The following is a 24,213-nucleotide window of genomic DNA, read 5'->3' as shown; positions in this document are numbered from 1 at the left end:
AGGGGCAAAGGAACAAAATGAATGACATTCTCAAACAGTTCAGAAAAAAAATACGCACCTGTGTGTGTGTGTGTGTGTGTGTGTGTATACACACACAGAGAGAAAGCAAATGAGGCGAGGTGTAAACTGGAAAATCTGGGTGAAGGGCAAATGTGAGTTCCTTGTGCTATTCTTGCAACTCTTCTGCAAATTTAAAATCATATCAAAGTAAAAAGTTTCCAAAAAAAAAAGTTTCAAAAAAAAAAAAAAGTATATGTATGCCGAATTAACTAAAGTGCTCAGAGGAGACGCTGAGCAAAGGATCCAAGTCCTTTTCTTGTGTTAAATCAATGCAAGAACTTGAGAAAATTACGATCACCCCATTCTTCCCATGGTTCACTGTGGACTCTCTTAAGCTTCCGGTATGGAAAATATCCTGCTCGGAAGAGAGCTTTGATCAGAAAAATGCAATAAATGCCTGGAGCCAGAGATCTGAATCTTTGCAAGGGACTGTAGGAGATAACACAGAAAAGGAAACTTGAGTACCTCCCCATGGGAAGGCCAAGGCAGGGTCAACATGGAGAAAATCTGAAAGCCTGCAGGCCACACTTTCCAGAGCAGTGGGGGGCTGGAAGGTGGCACAGGCAAGTAAGGCACAGCCCTGCTGTTAGGGGTTTATAGTTTAATAGGAGAGAGAAATGACACCAGGCAACTGGGTCATTTGGGGTAGAAAATGCCCCAAATGGGGTAGAAAATGCTCAGGGTAAGAGAAGGGTCACAGAAGAAATCCTCCAGGGGCTGAGAGCAGGGAGAGGAATTTCTGATGTAGACTGGGATGAAGACAGAGAGGCAGATACAGCAATACCCTGCACTGTAGCCTCATGATAAGTTCTCTTTCTGCTTAAGCCAGCCAGCTGGCTCATCACAACCAAAAGTGTGAATCCTCCCCTGCACTGGGGGCAGTTTTTGTACAATGCAGGCACACACACAGCGAGCTCCCTCTTGCCTCAACCATTTCTTTTGCCTGAAATGTCCTCTTCCTGATGTGCTTTCCAAATGCTGCTCTTCCACCAGGCCTAGCTCCAGCCAGCATGAAACCACTCATTCACACCTGACATGTTCCCACCTTCCCCTTGCAATGCCTTTCTGTTATATCCCCAATAAGCCCAAATCTTTCCAGTCCTTCGAGGCCCGCCTCCAATGTCTCATCCCCTTCCAGTTTCTCAGGCTGCTTTCTGGAGAAGTCATTTAATTCCGAGTCAATGCAAACCATCGATATAACTTGGTTGTTCAAACTTTTTTTTTGAGACAGGGTCTCCTGTTGCCCAGGCTGGAGTGCAGTAGTGTGACCATGGCTCACTGCAGCCTCAACCTCCCGGGCTCAAGTGATTCTCCTGCCTCAGCCGTCCAAGTAGCTGGGACTACAGGCATGTGCCACCACACCCAGCTCATTTTAAATTTTTTTGTACAGACAGGGTCTCATTATGTTGCCCAGGCTGATCTAGAACTTCTGGGCTCAAGCCATCCTCCTGCCTCAGCCTCCCAAAGTGTAAGATTACAGGTGTGAGCCACTGTGCCCGGCCACATGGGAGCCATTCTGGAAAGCCCTGAAGGCACTTGGCATGGAAGGCAAGCTTGTCACACGACAAGGACAGCTAAGGGAGCCAAGCTCATTGGGCCTTATGCCAGCTTGGAGAGGTACATTCCAGAGGAGTCTCATAAAAGCAGGAGTTGAGTTCTGGGTAGCACAGCAATTAGAACTAGGACCAATGCAGCTATGAAACACTAAAAAACAGATTTAGGAACACTTAACATTATGAAATGCTGCCATGTGCGGTGGCTTGCTACCAGTTTCAAGAGGGAGTCAGATGAAACTGGGGAAGTTGTATAAAGATTTGCTTTGGCTTAGATCAGACGCTCCTAAATGTCCAACCATTAGTGCAATCTCCAGTGGACTAGGGTGACCTGAGGAAAATAAGGCCATAGCCCTAAAGCTGGTCCATTTAAAGGACTTTTCCTTTCTTGATAACAGTCCATATGCAAAGGGCTCTGAAAACCAAGTTTTTTTTTTTTTTTTTTTTTGGTTTGGTATAAAAACTCATTTTGCAGAAAACTCTGACCTGAACTGACATAGTTATTTATAGCCTTTACTTATTCCACTTAGTTGAATATTCACATGGTTCACTGGAAATTTTGCATTTTACTATGAAGTGTTACATTCACCATATTAACCTTTCAAAAATGTAAATACATTGCAATTCCAAAATACATCTGGCCTCCAGGGTTTCATAAGAAACTGTGGATTAGGTGTATCCTTTTTTGTTGTTGCTGTTAGTTTTTATTTCATAATCATAAGCTTAACTCTGCAATCCAGCTAGGCATGAAAGGAATAAGGAGAACATGGAACCCAAAGGGAACTGCAGTGAAAGCTCAAAGATTCTAGGATACTGCGAGCAAATGGGGTGGAGGGGTGCTCCCCTGAGCTACAGAAGAAATGGTCTGGTGGTTAAGATAAAACACAAGTCAAACTTAGTAGAGCTGTCCACAGTTAGCAATGGTGATCTTCTTGCTGGTCTTGCCATTCCTGGACCCAAAGCGCTCCATGGCCTCCACAATATTCATGCCTTCACCATGCCAAAGGCCACATGCTTGCCATCCAACCACTCAGTCTTGGCAGGGCACATGAAAACTGGGAACCACTTGTGTTGGGTCCAGCATTTGCCATGGACAGGATGCCAGGACCTATATGCTTCAGGATGAAGTTCTTGCAATCAAATTTCTCCCTGTAGATGGATGTGCCACCAGTGTGGCATGTGAAGTCACCACCCTGACATACAAACCCTGGAATAATTCTGTGAAAGCAGGAACCCTTACACCCAAATCTTTTCTCTCCAGTGCTCAGAGCATGAAAGTTCTCTGTTGTCTTTGGAAACTTGTCTGCAAACAGCTCAAAGGAGATACGGCCCAAGGGCTTGTCGTTGACAGCAATATCGAAGACCATGGTGGGGTTGACCATGGCTGGTAATACGGGGCTCCCAGTGGCAGCAGCATCTGCAAACCTGGTGTATCCTATTTTTCAAGTATTGTAATGGCCTTTCTTTAATTAAATGGTGAGTTAATAGTAGCGTTTGGTATGTTTTTTACATTAAAAACTGTTATAGCTTAGTGATATGGTTTGAATACTGCTTGTTTGTCCCACCAAGTCATGGTGAAACCTGATCCCCAATGTGACAATGTTGGGAGGTGAAGCCTAGTGGGAGGTTCTTGGGTCACGGGGGTGGATCCTTCACGAATGGCTTGGTGCCTTTCTTGCCATAGTGATTGAGTTCTTGCTCTGAGGAAACTGGATTAGTTCTCACAGGAATCAATTAGTTCTGGGGAGAGTGGGTTGTTATGAAGCCAGGGCGTGCCTTGGGTTTTGCCTCTCTTTGCAGGTGTCTGCTTTCCCTTTGACCTTCATGTTGTGACCTAGCATGTGGCCCTCACCAGAAGCAAGAATATGCTGGTGCCATGCTCCTTGGACTTCCCAGCCTGCAGAACTGTGAGCTAAATAAACCTCTTTTCTTTCTTTCTTTTTTTTTTTTTTTGAGACGGAGTCTAGCTCTGTTGCCCAGGCTGGAGTGCAGTGGTGTGATCTCTGCTCTCTGCAAGCTCCGCCTCCCAGGTTCACGCCATTCTCCTGCCTCAGCCTCCCGAGTAGCTGGGACTACAGACGCCTGCCACCACACCCGGCTAATTTTTTTTTGTATTTTTAGTAGAGACCGGGTTTCACCCTGTTAGTCAGGATGGTCTCGATCTCCTGACCTCGTGATCCACCTGCCTTGGCCTCCCAAAGTGCTGGGATTACAGGCGTGAGCCACGGCATCTGGCAATAAACCTCTTTATAAATTACTCAGTCCCAGGTATTCTGTTAAAGCAATACAAAATGGACTAAGACATTCAGTAAAATAAAACGTTTGGCAACCCTGAGTCTAGCTCCAAAATTTCTGGAACATTTTATTGGTCTGTGAAGTCCAACCCCAGCATAAGGCACCTCTAGTGCTTTAGAATTCTAGGCTTAATTAGACCAGAGGTTGCCAGTTGGTAGCTCCACTGACCAAACTGGGCCTGCAGGTGTGCTTTGCTTGCCTCACACAGGGCCTTCTTCCCCCTTTTTAATCTGGAAAGTGAACATAAAGTCCAGTTTCCAGTTTCTGGTTTTTTTTTTTGTTTGTTTGTTTGTTTGAGACAGACTCTCATTCTGTCACCCAGGCTGGAGTGCAGTGATGTGATCTCGGCTCACTGTAACCTCTGGCTTCTGGGTTCAAGTGATTCTCCTGCCTTGGCCTCCCGAGCAGCTGGGATCACAGACACGCGTCACCATGCCCAGCTAATTTTTTTTTGTTTGTTTGTATTTTTAATGGAGATGGGGTTTCGCCATGTTGGCCAGGCTGGTCTCAAACTCCTGACCTCAGGTGATCCACCCACCTTGGCCTCCCAAAGTGCTGCAATTACAGGCGTGAGCCACTGTGCCCAGCCTGGTTTCCAGTTTCTCTTGAAAATTCAGAAGATGTTGGCAACAGACTTGCATGGCATACAATCAACTGAAGCCAAGAAGCAGGTGGCCCCCTCTGCTTTCCAGCTGACCCCTTTGTGCTGACTGGAACACCTAGTGTGCTTCACTGCCACAGAACACAGGGCTAGAAAAGACTGCTTTTCTTAGGTGAGGACTGCTGATCATCGGCTCTATATAGGAATAGTGCCCTACCCAGTAACTCCACACAAAATTAAGAGTCTGATGCTGCTCCAGGGAAGGCCTGCCCAGAAACAGGCCTGCAGCAGACCCAGGGTACCAGAAGACTAGGAGGTCAAGAACAACTTGTTTGACTCAGTGAGCTCCTTAGCTGATGACAAAGAATTTGCTTGATTAGGAGTTCCTGCTGGGTGCGGTAGCTCATGCCTGTGATCCCAGCACTTAAAGAGGCCAAGGCGGGAAGATTGCTTCAGCCCAGGAGTTTGAGAGTGTAAATTTCCTTTGCATGTCATGTTGGAGCTTAAAAAGTTTTGGGCCAGGCACGGTGGCTCATGTTTGTAATGCCAGTACTTTGGGAGGCAGAAGCAGGAGGATCACTTGAGCCCAGGAGTTCAAGACCAGCCTGGGCAACATGGCGAAACTCCATCTCTACATAAAAAAAAAAAAAAAAAAAAAAAAAAAAAAAAAAAAAAAGCCAGTTCTGGTGGCGTGTGCCTATAGTCCCATCTATCTGAGAGGCTGAGGTGGGAGAATCACCTGAGCCTGGGAGGCCGAGGCTGCAGTAAGCCGTGATCATGCCACTGTACTCCAGCCTGGGCGACAGAGTGAGCATTAGCTAGTTCAATGCTGAGGAGTTGGAATGAGAATGGGTATCTATGTCCAGTCCTTGACTTCAATAAAAATGCTACCAAAGTCATCCCATTAAGTATGATGATTGCTGTACATTTTAAAAAACACTTAAACTATTGTAGGAAATTTCAAACATATGCCAAAGTATAACAAATAATATAATAAACTCCCATTTGCCCTTCCCAGCTTTGACAAATGGTGTTATTTTTTTCCGTCTACTTGGGATATCTGTGGTGTTTTTCTTTCTTTGTTTTTAGAGATAGGGTTTTGCTCTGTTGCCCAGGCTGGAGTTCAGTGGCACCATCACAGCTCACTTGCAGTCTTGATATCCTGGGCTCAAGGGATCTCCTCATCTCAGCCTCCTGAGTAGCTGGGACTAGAGTTGTGTACCACCACACTTGAATAATTTTTTAATTTTTAGTTTTGTAGACAGGGTCTTGCTATGTTGCCTAGGTTTGTCTTGAACTCCTGGCCTCAAGGGATCCTTCCACCTTGGCCTCGACTTAGGATACTTTTGAAAAAAAGAAGATATTCAAGACTCCCTATATCATGCTTTAAGCATGCTTACACAGCATGCTTTTTTTTTTTTTTTTTAGAGAGAATTTTAGAGCAGTTTTAGTTCAAAGCAACACTGTGTAGAGCCAGCATGCATTTAAAAAGAAGAACCCTGGCCAGGCATGGTGGCTCAGGCCTGAAATCCCAGCAATTTGGGAGACTGAAGCAGGAGGATTGCTTGAATCCAGGAGTTTGGGACCAGCCTGGGCAACACAGGGAGACCCAGTCTCTACAGAAAATAAAAAATAAAAAAATAAGCCGGGCATGGTGGCACACATTTGCAGTCTCAGCTTCTCAGGAGGCTGAGACAAAGATTGCTTGAGCCTAGGAGTTTGAGGCTGCAGTGAGCTATGATCCTGTCATTGCACTCCAGCCTAGGTGACAGAGACCATCTCCAAATAAATAGCCCTGACAGAAATTCCTAGCCTTCATATTTTTCAATAATTTATTATTAATTTTATGGACGATGACTTTGGTAACTGTCTAGGATTTTGATTATTAGAAAGCTTAGACCCAGTATGTGCAAGGTGGCATGGGGTAATTTTTCCTCCTCAGTCGTGGCCCAATTTTATTTTACTTATTTGGCTCAATTTTATATTCTCTTATTTTACTTTCTTTTCTCCCCCCCAACCCCCGATTTAAGCCATGATATTCTATATTTTATCTAACAGGGTCTCCTCATGTTGCCCAGGCTGGAGTGCAGTGGCATGATCTTGGCTCATGCAGCCTCAACCTCCTGAGCTCAAGTGATCCTTACCTCAGTCTCCCGAGTAGCTGGGACCACAGTTGTGCACCACCACGCGTGGCTAATTTTAAAATTTTCTGTAGAGGTGGGCTCTCGCTATGTTGCCCAGGCTGGTTTTGAACTCAGGGATTCAGCTATCCTCCTGCCTCAGACTCCCAGAGTGCTGGGATTACAAGCATGAGCCACTGTGCCCAGCCTATTCCATATTTTATATATCTGTGTAAGGCCACCTTAAAGCTTTACTGAAACAAGGCAGGCATAAATAAATGTTTATTCAGTCTTTCTATCTAGTAATTGGTGAAAACTAGGTTCAGCTTTTCTCATTAAGTGTATGCTTTAAGAAACTCTAAAATTTGGTAAGAAATAAGGTCCTTTGCCGCAGTCAAATTTACATTCGTGGTAACAATGTTTACTGCCACTAAGTGATTTTATTCCAGACCAGAGGGCACACCATCATACTATCTATGAATGGCCACTGTTAGCAACCAGAAAGTATTGATTCAAGTCCACCTTCAGACCAGGGTTCTACTCCCTTTCTGCAACAAATATTTATTAAATATCTAAAATGTACTAGGCCAGGCACGGTGGCTCACACCTGTAATCCCAGTACTTTGGGAGGCGGAGGTGGGTGGATCACCTGAGGTCAGGAGTTCGAGACCAGCCTGGCCAACATGGTGAAACCCGTCTCCACTAAAAATACAAAAAATTAGCCAGGCATGGTGGCATATGCCTGTAATCCCAGCTACTCAGAAGGCTGAGGTGCAAGAACAGCTTGAAGTCAGGAGGCAGAGCTTGCAGTGAACCAAGACACCACCATTGCACTCCAGCCTGGGCAACAAGGGCGAGACTCCGTCTCATTCATAAATAAATAAATAAATAAATAAATAAATAAATAAATAGATGTTCTAGGAACTGTACTAGGTTTCAGTTATACCAAAGTGAGTAAAGACCCAGTATTTAGTTGCCCTCTGGGAACTCTGGGAACTTACTATCTCATAGAGAAGACAGAGAAGCAACCAACAATTATAGCCTAGGGAAGGAGGGGTAAACTATGAGGAGAGGTGCACCTAGCTTAGTGCCCAGTAAAAACTGTCCGGCCAGGAACGGTGGCTCACGCCTGTAATCCCAGCACTTTGGAAGGCTGACGTAGAAGGATGGCTTGAACCCAGGAGTTTGTGACCAGCCTGAGCAACATAGGGAGACCCTATCTCTACAAAAAATACAAAAATTAGCTGGGCATGGTGGCACGTGCCTGTAGTTCCAGCAACTCGGGAGGCTGAGGTGGGAGGACTGCTTGAGCCTGGAAGGTCAAGGCTGCAGTGAGCCGTGATTATACCACTGCATTCCAGCCTGGGTGACAGAGTGAGACCCAGTCTCAAAAATCAAAATAAAACAAAACAAAAACAAAAAAGCAAAGACCACCAAAAAAAAAAAAAAAAAAAAAACCAAAACAAACAAAAAAACAACACCCTGTCCCTGTAGCTTTTCTTTTTTCTTTTTTTTTTTTTTTTGAGACAGAGTTTCACTCTGTCACCCAGGCTGGGGTGCAATGGTGTGATCTTGGCTCACTGAAACCTCTGCCTCCCCGGTTCAAGCGATTCTCCTGCCTCAGCCTCCTGAGTAGCTGGGATTAGAGGCCTATAGCTTTTCAAATAGTGGTTGAAGACACAGTTTTAAGAAAATTATCTACTTTGATCAATTTTGAAAACAATTTCTAAATTTAAATTGTAAGTATGACAGTAATCCTAAGTGCTCTCTTGTTTTGGACTTCTTATAACTTTAGAATCAGTATCAATGACTTACTGATATTAGGGAATCAATAGATTGGGGAAGGACGTAATTCTTTTTTTTTGTTTGTTTGTTTTTTGAGACGGAGTCTCACTCTGTTGCCCAGGCTGGAGTGCAGTGGCGCGATCTAGGCTCACTGCAACCTCTCCCTCCTGGGTTCAAGTGATTCTCCTGCCTCAGCCTCCTGAGTAGCTAGGATTACAGGCACGTGCCACTGCGCCCGGCTAATTTTTTGTATTTTTAGTAGAGACGGGGTTTCACCGTGTTAGCCAGGATGGTCTCGATCTCCTGACCTTGTGATCCACCCGCCTCAGCCTCCCAAAATGTTGGGATTACAGGGGTGAGCCACCGCGCCCAGCCAGGATGTAATTTATAGAAGTCATTTAGTTTGTCTCTTTTGATATACTTCATTAAAAGAAGCTTATCAACAATTCAAAAGTTTCCTAATGGGAAATTAGTTGAAGAACCAGTCTGTAACCTGGCTCTCTTCTGCTGCCTGTTAGTATCCATGCCCTTGGTTATTACCTTCCTCACTGTATCAGAGTTAGTTTGTGTGACCAACAGAATTTTGCACAGTGATGGTATGTCACTTCAGAGATTAGGTTATGAAAGATATGGTGGCTTCCATCCCTCTGCCTTTCTCTTGAATCACTTGCTCTGAGGGAAGCCAGCTGCTTTATCTGAGCAGCCTTATGGCGAGACCCACGTGGTGAGGAACTGAAGATTCCGGTTAATAGCATCTGAATGAGCAAAGAAAATCCTCCAGGCCTAGTCAATAGCTTGACAGCAACTCCAGGAGAGTCTTTGACCTAGAACCACTCAGCTAAGCTGCTCCTAGATTCCTGACCCTTAGAAACTGTGTAAGATACTAAATATTTGCATGTTTATTTATTTATGTATTTTTAGATGGAGTCTCGCTCTTGTCACTCAGGCTGGAGTGCAATGGCGCCATCTCAGCTCACTGCAACCTCCACCTCCCGGGTTCAAGCGATTCTCCTGCCTCAGCCTCCCAAGTAGCTGGAATTACAGGCACCCACCACCACACCCAGCTAATTTTTCTATTTTTAGATGGGGTTTCACCATGTTGACCAGGCTGGTCTTGAACTCCTGACCTCAGGTGATCTGCCCACCTTGGCCTCCCAAAGTGCTAGGATTACAGGCGTGAGCCACCACCCCCAGCCTATTTGCTGTTTTAAACTGCCAAAGTTTTGGAGGTAATCTGTTACATAGCAATGGATAACTTTTTTAAAAATTTAAAACATTATTATTTTAGAGACCCTGTGCAAGCATAGCTCACTGCAGTCTTGAACTCCGGAACTCAAGTGATCCTCCTGCCTTAACCTTCTGAGGAGCTGAGACTCCAGGCATGTGCCACTACACCTGGCTACTTTACTTTTAATTTTTTTAGAGATGGAGGTCTCACTATGTTGCCCAGGCTGGTCTCAAACTCCTGGGCTAAAGCGACCCTCCTGCTTCGGCCTCCAGAGTTGCTGGGATTTTGAGGACTTTGCTATAACATGAGGCCAGAAAAATAAATGTATTTTATTATTATTTTCTCACTGCAACCTCCGCCTCCCAGGTTCAAGCGATTCTTCTGCCTCAGCCGCCCAAGTAGCTGGAATTACACCATGTGCCACCACGTCTGGCTAATTTGTTTGTATTATTATTATTCTTTTTTTTTTAGTAGAGATGAGGTTTCGCCATGTTGGCCAGTCTGGTCTCGAATTCCTGACCTTAGGTGATTCACCTGCCTCGGCCTCCTGAAGTGCTGGGATTACAGGCATGAGCCGCTGTGCCCGGCCAATAAATGTATTTTAGGTATTCAAAGACAGATGACTTAGGCAGAAGGTTCTATTTATTCCAGGTGATATCACAGTACTTACTCATCTTCATTGATAAAAAGGGCTATATGTGCACATAGCACATATGTATTTACCACCTAATTTTGGCAAAAGTATTTAAAATATAGAACTTTATTTGCCGAAGTTGCATGACTGAATAAACTCTTATGGATTTTTTAAAAAATGTGATTAGGTACATAAAGTGCTACATTAGAATGCTCAACTTTAAAACTATCCCAAATTTACTTCGTAGAAGAAAATGTAAATGTAATGAGCTCTATAAACACTATTTAAAGAAAATAAGGCCTTGCATGGTGGTTCATGCCTAAAATTTCAGTACTTTGGCAGGGGGAGGCAGGAGGATCGCTTGAGGCCAGGAGTTCAGGACCAGCCTGATCAACAGAACTAGACCCAGTCTCTAAAAATAAAAAATAAAACAAAAATTTGGTTTAAGATATTCAAAACACATTAACTCTTTGAAGATTAGCTATGAAGTGCAGGAGGAGGGGTAATGGGGGAGGCTAAATAAGCATGGGCTAATTATCTCAGAGCAAGTTTTCAACCCAAAACAAAATGACATAACTATGCAAAGATTACACAGTGAAGTAATTTATGGCAGAAGCCTGAGATTCAAAAAATTGAAATGGTTGGTATTTTTAGTGCCTTTGCAGCTCCTCCCTTGTTTGCTTGTAGAACCTGCCATGAGGAAGGATCCTCAGTCTAGCAGGAAGGGATCCCGCCATTTAAGAGTGAAAAGAATGCTATTCCAAGCAGGCACACCTGCTTCCAATTCTATGTGGAGCACGATGCTCATGCTGATGGGATAAATGAGCACACAGAACTTAGGATAAAGAAAAATCCTAGGATGAAATTTCATAAAGTAGAAGTTTGAATCTCTGCTAAATGAAGTCTGGTTGCCCAGATATTCTCTGGCCAGTTCAAAAGGTGAAAATGACAAGGAGCACAACCAGCAACAGTTTCTCTACTTGTTCCTTTCTCCCTCCCCTGGTCCCTTTGCCTTTCTTATTCGTAATGCTCATGATGTCTTTTTCTTTCTTTCTCTTTCTTTTCTTTTCTTTTTCTTTCTCTCTCCCTCTCTCTTTCTCTTTCTCTCTTTCTTTTGAGACAGTTTCACTCTTGTTGCCAGGATGGAGTGCAATGGTGTGATCTTGGCTCACTGCAAACTCCACCTCCTGGGTTCAAGCGATTCTCCTGCCTCAGCCTCCCGAGTAGCTGGGATTACAGGCATGTGCCACCATGCCCGGCTAATTTTGTATTTTTAGTAGAGACAAGGTTTCCCCATGTTGGTCAGGCTGGTCTCGAACTCCCGACCTCAGGTGATCTGCCCGCCTCAGCCTCCCAAAGTGCTGGGATTACAAGTGTGAGCCACCACACCCGGCGTCTTTTTCATAGGCTTTATAGGTTTTATCTCAGTGTCCTTGCATGACAGGGTAACAGATCACATAATTTTAAGATTTGGGCTGAAAGGCGCTGAATCTTTAGGGAAAAAAAAAGGTCCTGCTCAATCTACTGAATGAACAGCACGATAAACACAAACAATAAGACATGGTGGACACTTGCCTCCATGTGCAAGGGATTTAGATCCATCCAATCCATGCCCCAGCTCATCAATAGGAGACGCCTTTCAAAGAGCCTGTCTGGCTAAAACACTTTTTCTTGGCTTAAAAAAAAAAAATCCTTAGGCCAGGCGCAGTGACTCACACCTGTAATCCCAGCACTTTGGAAGGCTGAGGCGGGCAGATCACGAAGTCAGGAGATGGAGACCATCCTGGCCAAGATGGTGAAACCTGTCTCTACTAAAATACAAAAAATTAGCCAGTCGTGGTGGTGCACACCTGTAGTCCAAGCTACTCAGGAGGCTGAGGCAGGGGAATCCCTTGAACCCGGGAGGCGGAGGGTGCAGTGAGCCAAGATGGTGCCACTGCACTCCAGCCTGGAGACAGAGTGAGACTCCGTCTCAAAAAAACAAACAAAAAACCAAAAACCTTCACTAGTTACCCATTACTCGCAAGTTACAGTTCAAACCATTTAACAGGGGAAAACTCCAGGAGAGTACACACAAAGCCTTAAAAATGCTTCCCAGTCATAATGCCTTTTTAAAGAAAATCAAGATCAGATCTTAATGGTTTTCAATGACATGTGCTTCAAGAGAAACCAGACCTGTTCCTTAGACGATCTAGAAGGGAAACTTACCTTTGGCTCTGTAGCCAGATATCCCCAGCTTGGAAGGTTGAGTGGTTGAAGGTGAGAGGAAATGCACTCAATGCTTCTATGGTTCCATAGTCTCCAGTGTCTTCTTCTATTACATTGTATTTTAATTGCCAGCTTCCTTGCCTGTATTTCACCTCCATACCAAAAGCTCTATGAAGATAGGGACTGAGTATTGTCAGGATCTGGCACGGTGCCTAACATCAGACACTCAATAAGTATTTGCTAAATGAATGCATATGAAACCACTGAAACCTGGAGACACAACATGGAGTAGCAGAAAAAGAAACAGGCCAGGCGTGGCAGCTCACACCTGTAATCCCAGCACTTTGGGAGGCTGAGGCAGGCGGGTCACCTGAGGTCGGGAGTTCAAGACCAGCCTGACCAACATGGAACCCCATCTCTATAAAAATACAAAATTAGCCAAGCATGGTGCACATGCCTGTAATCCCAGCTACTTGGGAGGCTGAGGCAGAAGAATCGCTTGAACCCGGGAGGCAGAGGTTGTGGTGAGCCGAGATCGCGCCATTGCACTCCAGCCTGGGTAACAACAGAGGAACTCCGTCTCAGAAAAAAAAAAAAAAAAAAAAAAAGAAACATCTTGGTTCTCAACTTTATTATTACGATTCCAAGTAAAAAATTTTCTGGATTTTTCCTGGATAAACAAAAAGATGGGATAGGATTGTTAAGGGTTTCTCCAGCATTATAGTTCTATGAATATATGTACAAAGCATTTTTAACATTATAAGACTGACTGTTGAGTGAACACACCAGAATTCCTCAGTGCAAATGAACATTAGCCCCTTTAAAGATGGGGGTGGGTACTCTGACAAGTTAATTACTCATTCAACTATGAAAGCCAATTTGGAATTTATTTTAGCTTGAAAAAATTTATACAAGCAATACATATTTGTTAATTACTAAAAATAAATTAGAAATCACAAAAGGGAGGCTGAGGTGAACAATAGCTTGAGTCCAGAAGGTTCGAGACCAGCCTGGGCAATATAGGGAAACTCCATCTCTACAAAAAAATACAAAAATTAGCTGGGTGCGGTGGCACATGCCTATAGTTCCAGCTACTTGGGAGGCTGAGATAGGACGATTGTTTGAGCCCAGGAGGCAGAGGTTGCAGTGAGCCGAGATTCATGCCACTGCACTCAACAGTGTGGGACTCTGTCTCAGAAAAAAAAAAAAAATGAAAATCATAAAGGTGGAAGGGAATTTAAATTTACCCACAATCATACAAAGACAACCACTACTACCAGTCTGGGTATAAATCTTCCTAAGTTCTCCTGTTACAAACATATCTTGTATGTTTACATTTATTTTCCTTTATAAAACCAGGTTTATTTTACTCTGGTAACCTGTTTCTTTTACTTAATATAGTATGAATATCTTTCTACATACTTTGTAACCACAGTAATCTATAGAGTGGTAATATTAATTTATTTAACCAATGACCCACTTAGGTTGTTTATGTCACTATGATAAAAATGCTGCACTACATGTCCTAGTAAATTTTTATGCACATAATTATGTTCTCAAAATAATTATCCAGAAGTGAACTTTTTGGAGCAAGGCTGTAATTTTTAAGTCAGGAGCAAGGCTGCATTTTTTTTTCGAGAAGGAGTTTCGCTCTTGTCGCCCAGGATGGAGTGCAGCGGTGCGATCTCGGCTCACTGTAACCTCCGCCTCCCAGGTTCAAGCAATTCTCCTGCCTCAGCCTCCTGAGTAGCTGGTATTACAGGCACCCACCACCATGCCCGGTTAATTTTTGTATTTTTAGTAGAGATAGGGTCTCACCATGTTGGCCAGGCTGGTCTCCAACTCCTGACCTCAGGTGATCCACCTGCCTCGGCCTCCCAAAGTGCTGAGATTACAGGTGTGAGCCATTGCACCCAGCCAAGACTGCAGTTTTAACTCAGTTGATTTGCATGCAGTTTTTTCTCTTTGGTAGCAGATTCCCATCCTTTTGATAGTAGATAGTCACTGGAAGCAGCCAAGAGTCACCAGATTTTGGTCAAGTGTAGTGATTAAAGTGAGAGATCAAGTAGGCAATACTAGTTTTGGTTGAAAGCCTCTGACTATAGGGCAACGTGAATGGTTTTCACATGTGACTCAAAGTGGCTCTAAAGGCAATAACAACAGGAATTCCAAAACCATTGTGGGCAATTGGTTCATCACCAAACCAAGCATATTACTTCCAAAAGAGTGAACTATGAAGGCGACAAACAGAGCTAGGTGATAATGCTTTCTCAGGATTCATAATGTTACACACATATCTCACTCATACACAGAAATTCTGAATGGTTGAGTCAATCAATTCATTTAATTAAAGTAGATTAAAGTTTAGGCTTACCTAAAACTTTAATATTTGCAATATTTTTTCAGTATGACATTCTCATAAAAACGTATTCACCACTCGAATGGTACTTCACATACATTATCTTTTTAATGTTCACACTACTACCACAAATATAAGTATTATTCTCCGCATGTTATAAATGAGAAAATGGAGACTCAGAGAAAATGTGATTTGCACAAGGCAACAACATCTGATAAAAGGTAGAACCAAGATGCCAATACAGATCTGTTTTGCTTCAAACACCACGTTCTTTTTATTCTCTAACCCTGCCATGTAGCACCTTTGAATAATTCTTAAATGTATCATTACAGGGTTGTTCAATTTTTAGCTGCAATGCTTAATATTTCTTAATGACTCTATTATTACCAGTGAATAATCCTATTCTTTATTTAACGTGGAAGTGAACTGAACAAAACTGAAGGTATTGCTTATGAACAGACTTATTTCTATTCTTGAGGAAAACTGGAAGTAACTACAAAAAGCCATTTATTCCACTTGAATGAAGTAAATATTGATACTAGACCTTACATTTAAAGAGACCAGTCTAGCAAGTGACTCTCATTTTAACAATAACCATATTAAAAGAGAAAAAAATAAAGCAGTAAGTTAAATAAAAGGTTAATAAAACTTGGAGGAAACAGCTCAGTGTTTTCTTTTAAACCCTGAAGAATACCAAATGTATGTTATGTTGCATAAAGAGTCATGTCAAGAGAAGACTATTAACAACCCAATAGTAGAGTCAGCATTAAGAACTTCAATGATATTCAACTCAAACATGCGTAGGGAGAGTAAAGTTATTTTATTAAATCATGCACGTCACGTGTGTTAGTGCAAATAGTTTAATCTGTACTCCAGAAATTCTATTGTACTTTATATCTTTACAAAATAGATTTAAAACAATTATTTACTTTAAAAAATGTAATTCTGAAGTTAAGCATTTCAGAACAATATTTGCAATAACCTATATACAAGAGGTACTGGGTACCACTGGCATATTAGCATTCTGTGGTGGAGTGGCTTCCTGCAACAGAAAATGATGAAATGAACTATATGACAGTATTTTCTACAAGTCATTTGTGACTAATTCCTCCATAAATCTAGTGATCTTCCCAAAAGCAATCTCAAATAGCTTAAAATATAACCTTTAAAGTATAAACAGTGACTGCCAAACATCACAAGGCAAATTATACCCTAAACTCCTATTTCAATATTTGGCTAGACCTGTGGATTGCCACAGAACATTCAAGCCAATTCACTGACATTCCCTCCCGGTCTTCACTGACTGAAAAATTTAACTATGTGATACTTTAGGATATTCTATGACCTAAATAAACTTTATTGACATAACTATGATGCCGCACAAAACCATGGCTAAACTTTCACTTGTGTTTTAAATTTATAATATCAAGCAGTGTTTTTAGGTGCTTCATTGTGCATAGAACACTATTAATCTTGGGAATAGTGCTTTTCATTAACAGAAAGTCCCAATTAACAACAATAAAAAGAAAATAACCATTTGCATACCCAACCAGGAAATTTGTTGGTAGGTACAACGCTCACCCTGAACATGAATTAGCTCTGACACATCATAAACCAAATTAGGTCAATACAAGCTTATCTAAAGAGATATTAATACTTTCTTCAATTAAACATGCTTGGAGGAATAGATGATAGAAAAAAAAAATCATGCTTCCTAAAATGCTGTATATGAGAAAGTAACTTGGCTTTTAAAGAAAAATATCTCTTTAAATACATGGTTTAATAAATTACATTCCAATTGACTCAACATTTTGGTTGACTGCACTGAAATTGTGTAATTACTATGTTTTTGCTCCCAGAAATACTTCAGTTTGCTCAAGAAAATACACTCTCATGGAAAGTTTTTCAAAGTTGATGTCCTCCACATCTTCAAGTCACATTAAGGCTGAACAAGCGTGCACATATTCCCCAAATTATCACCATAACAGTTTATTTTCCAAACGTATTTTTCCTTAAAAAAAAAAAAATCCACGCAAATAGTTGTCTCTAAGTCTTGTTCCCAATAGCTCAGTGGTTTCATAACAAGTAAAAATGGCGTAAATATGTAAAAAATATATATATGTGTATATATTTCAAACTGATAGGCACTGAGCACACAGGGCCTCTCTTCCCATGTATGTATTGGTTGTTTGGTTTGGGTAGTTATCAAATCAGAAAAATGAATTATCTGGTGATCAGAATTCAGAGTAAAATACTCATAAATTTAATGTTATAAATAATCTGGTGTACCAAGAAGCCTACTTTAGGCCACCATAATATTCAGAATCTTAACATACTAATTTAAAAATTACATGAAAAATTGCAAGCAAATTATTGCTTACAGTAGAATAAAGTCACAATTTTATATCTTCTTTATAGACAGATACATTTTATATAATTTAAAGCAATGACCCTACAGCTGTATTCTTGTACTTCTGCTGTTTTAAGAGGTAAAGAGGAAGAAAATGGTTCTGTTTGTCCCCAGCATGAGTGTGATGCCAGCTTCTAGAGGGAGGACGGTGTACGGACTCAAGGAACGCTCTCATGGAGAAGCTCTGGCCAGACCTGGCACGTACAGCACGATGGCTGTTACTGCAACCAGGGCAGCCAACATGGGCATCCAGGGCCAGGGTTTCTGTGTGGAAAGAAACCAAGAGTCAATATCACATTCTCCCCTCTCTTTTCATACCTATTAACCCCTTGGTTCCAGAGAGTCCTGAATACTTAACAGAATATTGGAAAAATCTTATTTCTGCATCATAAATATAAAGTTTGAAAAGAAAAAAAAAAGTGAGGGAGTGCAGGTATAAGAAGAGTCATAATAGCAGGAACACCAATTTGGAAGTCTAACACGTCCCAAGAAAGTCCTGGGAAGTTTTCAACTTTGTTACAGTTGAAACCTAATAGTGACTTCTAAGAAAATTTGTGGGCTCTGCCTGCTTTATTTACTCTGGTATCCATATATTCCAATATAACTGATGTATATAGACACCTGTAGTATGTTTCTGCCTAAAATGTTTATTTCTTGATAAGAACCAGACTCACATGTTGGGATATTTTATGCAAGGGGATAGTGGCTAAGGTGATAATGGTCTAGGCTTTGGTCGTCCAACTTGAAACCACAGAAGACAAAATCAAACAGGGTTCAAGATGGAAAAGTAACATTAGGGATCCTGCCTGTCTGATAATTCTGGTATAGACTCTGTTCAGTGTAATAAAGCCACATGATCACCGCATATGCTCTACTAACATGCATGCCAGTTAGAAACAAGCATGGATGGGCTGTTGCCTGCTAGCTTTTAGAGGGCTTTATAAGATCAACTTGCTTTGGTTGACACTTTTATTTTTACTTGTATTCCAGAAGTGTTATTGAGAAAAACTGGTTTTTAAAGAAATATTCTGATGTTGCAGGTCAGGGCTCAGAAAGAAATGGGATACATTTATATCCTTGCAAGTACACAATAGGGTTGAGATTGTGAGCCAATGGTTCATTATGTTAATCTCATTATTTTTCATCTTCATAGCCATAGTATAAACAGGCAAAGGGTTGAAACAAAGAAAATCTACACTATGAAAAGGAAGAGGATAAGGAGGAAGGGGAAGAAGGCTGGCTGAAAACTTCAAGGAGGCAAACTCTTCATTTCTCATTCAAATCTGATTAAACACATAATTGGAAAGAGGGTACTAATATTGCAGAAATTCATAGTGCACTCCAGTTTGCTAGAGATAAAGACTCAGTTAATGGAAGCATATTAACAACTGGTTAGGTTGGAATTAACTCATGGTTAGCATTACTACAAAGTAAACAAGACAAAAAGTTATGGGATTAGTTGACTGTTCAGTTCATTGGTATGACACAAATACACGGCATACTAAATGAAGGGTTTGCTTCAGGTAACAAAATACCTGTGTGTTCTTGCCATGCACTATATTACAAATATGGCACAAAAAGGTGACGGGGACAAACAGACAAGGACTCAACAATAGTGCTTGTACCTTTCTCTACCACAATGGACCGAAACACCAAAACAGGAAAGCCAGGAATAGGCCGATGAATACGGCTGGGACGGGTTGTAATATGGAAGGCTAAAGAAGGGAAGGCATATTAAAATCATTTTATGCTATGAAAGTAATCAGATAAGAGGATTCAGACCCCAGTAGGGTGGGAGGTAGGAAGAAAGAATGAAATAATAGAAGTATACCACTCAGGTTTTACACAGATTCAAACATTTTAAAGACATCTAACACAATCTGATAGACTGTGGTATGCAAGTTGGGAAACTATCAGTTTAAAAGGAATAGCTAGGAACCGTTAGGCTCAATGCCTGTAATCCCAGCACTTTGGGAGGCTGAGGCAGGTGGATCACCTGAGGTCAGGAGTTTGAGACCAGCCTGGCCAACATGGTGAAATGCTGTCTCTACTAAAAATACAAAAGTTAGCCAGGCATGGTGGTGCATGCCTGTAATCCCAGCTACTCTGGAGGTTAAGGCAGGAGAATTGCTTGAACCAGGAGGCAGAGGTTGCAGTGAGCTGAGAGTGCCACTGCACTCCAAGCTGGGTGACAGAGAGAGACTCCGTTGAAAAAAAAAAAAAAAGAGAAAGAAACAGCTGAAGGCAATGGGCAATGTGGGTGTACCTAACATTCTAATGAAATATAGCACATGAAGACAGAGCAGGCCGAATGCAGTGGCTCATGACTGTAATCCCAGCACTTTGGCAAGCTGAGGTGGGCAGATTGCTTAAGGCCAGGAGTTTGAGACCAGCCTGGACCACATGGCAAAACCCTGTCCCTACAAAAAATACAAAAATTAGTTGAGCATGGTGGCACACATCTGTAATTCCAGCTACTTGGGAAGCTGAGGTGGGAGCATTGCTTGAACTGGGAAGGTCAAGGCTGAAGTGAGGTGAGATCATGCCACTGCACTCCAGCCTGGGTGACAGAGCAAGACCCTGTCACCAAAAAAAAAAAAAACAAAAAACAAAAAACAAAAAACACTGACAATACTTCACCACCAGCTGATGCTCTCTGCTTGACAGTACACTATTTTTGCTCGATACCTGAAATCCATTATTTGACAATGTACTCCCTCAGCAATGGTTATTTTATCCCTCTAACAAATTTTTTTTTTCAACCAAAGCTCTTTTGCTTATTAGATGATACTGCTTTCAAGCTTCAAAATAAATGCCCTGTGATAATGCGTGCTTCCTAAATCAGGCAAGAGATTTCACATGTAATAAAGGTTTGGTATATAAAGACAGGCAGAGCTGGACACGGTGGCTCACACCTGTAATCCCAGCACTTTGGGAGGCCAAGGCAGGCAGATCACCTGAGGTTGGGAGTTCAAGACCAGCCTGACCAACATGGAGAAACCCCATCTCTACTAAAAATACAAAATTAGCCAGGTGTGGTGGCACATGCTGTAATCCCAGCTACTCAGGAGGCTAAGGCAGGAGAACTGCTTGAACCCGGGAGGTGGATGTTGCGGTGAGCTGAGATCATGCCACTGCACTCCAGCCTGGGCAACAAGAGCAAAACTCCGTCTCAAAAAAAAAGAGAAAAAAGAAAAAAAAAAGGCAGCTGAGTCTCAGGGCTTTCAATCATGTTACCAGAATACAATTAATTTTTAAAATGGAAAGAAAACTGCTACAATGAGTGTTATTACAGAGTAATATTTTAATACCATAGGTGCAATATCACAAAAAAAGGAAATTCACCCCTAAGGTGAATGGTAGCTATAAATAATAATAGCAAAGTTACTTTTGAAAAGGTTCTAAATAGTATGGGGAGATCCATTCTGATTATGCTAGATGTCTTCATGGGTTAATTTAGCAGTAGACTGAAATTCCATAATCCCAGGGATATGAATTAACACAAAAGAGAAGTAACCAAACCATTATGATCTGATTTTAGAAGAGTTATGTAATCTACATTTTGAAAAGTAAATGCAAACCATTTTTCCTTAGCATAAAGCCTCCACACCCAGTTCATCAACTTCTAAAAGGCTTCTACCTAAGCAGCAAGACTTTACTGTCTACAAACTAAGACTTTCTTTAGCAAAGGACAGTTGGACACAACTCATGAGCATTCTGTGTGCAAATGAGTAACACGATGGCCATGCAACATCACTCTTTTGTACTTGTGCTGCAAGGTAAGCGAAGTGGCTTCCTCCATAGGAAGTATGTGGCTCACGCACACTGCAGTGTCCAAGCCATGACAGTGGTTTTAAATAAGTCAGAGCACAACCAACCACACTAAACATCTATCAGGGCCCACAAAGGTAACGATCACCAAAACGTACAACACAACATTTATTTAGTATAACATCTTTTTAAAGACCATCTGTCTTTCTAGCAAATGAAAAACAAAAAAATTAAACTCAATTTATACCAAAATGTTCATCTCTCTCTCTCACAGCCCTACAGAAACTCACCAAATATTTTCTAATATTTACAGAATGACAAAGAGACATTAAGCTTTTTAGAAATTGTGCCTCAGTGAGAACATTATTGGTATAAGAACAACATGTACTACTCTCTCTTAAATGGATCCCTGGTGGTACAATGCTTCATTTCCCAGCAGGGGAGAAACAAGAGCCAGATGATAGCTTAGTGACAGAGCTTCAGACTCATCTGGGAAAAGCTGACAGTTCTTAAGCAAGCTGCTTTATTGCAAACAAGGCTCTTCCTCCAGGCAGTCCTGAGGCTCTTCTAGGAGTATAGGTTAAAGGTACAAATTCTTACTCAAAAATCTGACAGCACAATGATTCTATCATGGAATTTCATAATGAAAAGCCTATTTCATCTGTACCATTTGCTTCACAAATCAGTGATAAAGTCCTCTGAAAATCAATTTCAATCTCTCATGTGCCTCTCAATCAAAGCTAAGCCAAGTTTGCAAAGACTTACATTATTTCCTTTCTCTCGGAGCAGCTTCAGGTTGTTTTTACACTGTTTGAGCTCATCTGTGATTGACTGCTTTTCCTGCTCAGTCATTTCAAACTTCAACTTCAGTTCTGAGAGTACAGTCTGTGTCTTTTCATACTAAAGGCAAAGAAAAAAAAAGTGTGCAGATACAACTTAAAATGGGTATGATGTTATGGTTCTAATCAGGTTTATACGCCAGATCCTATTTAGTCACCTGGAACACCAAAGTCAAGTCTTTTTGTTTAAGGAGGAATAACTTGCACTCATAAGAAGTCTTTTGGCCGGGCGCAGTGGCTCACGCCTGTAATCCCAGCACTTTGGGAGGCCAAGGCGGGCAGATCACGAGGTCAGGAGTTCGAGATTAGCCTGACCAACATGAAGAAACCCCATCTCTACTAAAAATACAAAAATTAGCTGGGCGTGGTGGTGCATGCCTGTAATCCCAGCTACTCGGGAGGCTGAGACAGGAAAATCGCTTGAACCCGGGAGGCAGAGGTTGCAGTGAGCCAAGATCATGCCACTGTGCACTCCAGCCTGGGTGACAGAGGGAGACTCCGTCTCAAAAAAAAAAAAAAAAAAAGAAAAGCCTTTAATGTTGACTTTATTCCATGTAAGAATTTTCTGGCCCTGGAGTTAAAAAAAATTAAGAGTAATCACCATTTTGTCATCTGTTTTTAATATAAAGGATCACTTTTCCACCAAGTGAGTTACAGGAGAAAAGGAAAATTTCAAACTGAGCAAAAGAAAAGTAGGTGAAGAAAAATTCCATAGCCAATGTTAGGAAGCCTGAGTTTATATCCTAGTAAGGAGTGTCAGCCAAGCTATTTTAGTCTTGAAGTAAAAAGTATTAATTCCCAATAGGTTTCCCTTTACCCAGCATTACTGGGTATTAAAGTGTTCTGGATAAGTGAATTTTCTAGGCAAATGAAGCAAAGAAATGTATCTGAAGTACCGACCACTATGATTGGGAAATTTCTATTTCTCCACTTAAAACAGGCATTGGCTGGGCACGGTGGCTCACACCTGTAATCCCAGCACTTTGGGAGGCCAAGGTGGGCGGATCACCTGAGGTCAGGAGTTTGAGACCAGCCTGGCCAACATGGCAAAACCCCACCTCTACTAAAAATACAAAATTAGCCAGGCATGGTTGTGCATGCCTGTAATCCCAGCTACTTGGGAGGCTGCGGCAGGAGAATCGCTTGAACCCGGGAGGTGGAAGTTGCAGTGAGCTGATGTTGCACCACTGCACTCTAGCCTAGGCAACAAAAGCAAAACTCCATCTCAAAAAACAAAACAAAAAAACTTAGGTTATCAACTAAGTCATTTTAAAAATTCTGTTTTCGGTAGAAATTTTATTTTTATTTTATTTGTTTATTTTTTGAGACGGAGTCTAGCTCTGTCACCCAGGCTGGAGTGGAGTGGTGCAATCTCAGCTCACTGAAACCTCCGCCTCCCAGGTTCAAGTGATTCTCCTGCTTCAGCCTCCTGAGTAGCTGCGATTACGGGCACCTGCTGCCACATCTGGTATGTTTTGTACTTTTAGTAGAAATGGAGTTTCACCATGTTGGCCAGGATGGTCTTGAACTCCTGGCCTAGGGTGATCCACCTGCTTCAGCCTCCCAAAGTGCTGGGATGACAGGCATGAGCCACCGTGCCCCGCCTGTTTCTAGTAGAAATTTTTAAATAGCAAAACTTGTCATTTTCTGTTCTGGAAAACAATTCACTGTATATACTTTGACTTTCAGATAGAGTCACATCTTTTTAAAGACCATCTGCCTTTTAAAGGTGAGACCAATGTGAAACATAGTATGGCTTACCCCTACTTTAAATGGTGCCTGGAGGCTGAAATTCTAGACTGGTTCCACTTCTAGATACAGCATCTTACACGCAAACTGGGCTCACAGTCAAAGAACAGAGATTGTTCTGCTACTGGCTGTGCCTTTGTCTCCACTTCCACTACCCCACTCTGCCATCCCTCTTTTTTTTTTTTAGACTGAGTCTCACTCTGTCACCCAGGCTGGAGTGCAGTGGCGTGATCTTGGCTCACTGCAACCTCCTCCTCTTGGGTTCAAGGGATTCTTGTGCCTTAGCCCTCCATGTAGCTGGGATTATAGGCATGCACCACCATGCCTGGCTAATTTTTTTGTATTTTTAGTACAGATGGGGTTTCACCTTGTTGGTCAGGCTGGTCTCGAACTCCTGACCTTGAGTGATCCACCCACCTCGGCCTCCCAAAGTGCTGGGATTACAGGTGTGAGCCACCGCACCCGGCCCTATTCTGCCATCTCTGAAGGTTTTAGAAGGAAGATAGACAAGGATTGAATATAAAATAGATATACCATAGGTAACGTATACCAGAAAGGTTCCTCCTTGTCCCTAAATGTAGCTTATGAGGGTAGAAAGTTT

At 42.0% G+C, this 24,213-nt stretch overlaps 1 protein-coding gene and 1 pseudogene across 51 annotated transcripts in view; both read right to left on the bottom strand.

Moving 5' to 3' along the window:
* PPIAP16 (peptidylprolyl isomerase A pseudogene 16) lies at nucleotides 2,299-3,037 on the bottom strand (annotated as a pseudogene).
* Nucleotides 14,800-24,213, bottom strand: part of SLMAP (sarcolemma associated protein) — a 173,705-nt gene continuing 164,291 nt past the window's right edge. For 23 of the 51 annotated variants that reach the window (XM_005265456.5, XM_005265468.5, XM_005265462.5 and 20 more), the window contains 2 exons: nucleotides 21,790-21,924; nucleotides 14,800-17,517 (listed from right to left, as the gene is read on the bottom strand). In XM_005265456.5, the coding sequence (XP_005265513.1) occupies nucleotides 17,425-17,517; nucleotides 21,790-21,924 (228 nt within the window). In that variant the 3' untranslated portion in view covers nucleotides 14,800-17,424. Of the gene's footprint in view, nucleotides 17,518-18,878; nucleotides 18,969-21,789; nucleotides 21,925-24,213 lie in introns of those variants that run through there. The other 28 variants (NR_165328.1, NM_001377540.1, NM_001377555.1 and 25 more) reach the window with 3 other exon arrangements.

The sequence above is a fragment of the Homo sapiens genome, chromosome 3, assembly GCF_000001405.40.
Source record: "Homo sapiens chromosome 3, GRCh38.p14 Primary Assembly".
Taxonomy (NCBI): Eukaryota; Metazoa; Chordata; class Mammalia; order Primates; family Hominidae; genus Homo; species Homo sapiens.
This window is presented reverse-complemented; position numbering and strand designations above follow the sequence as displayed.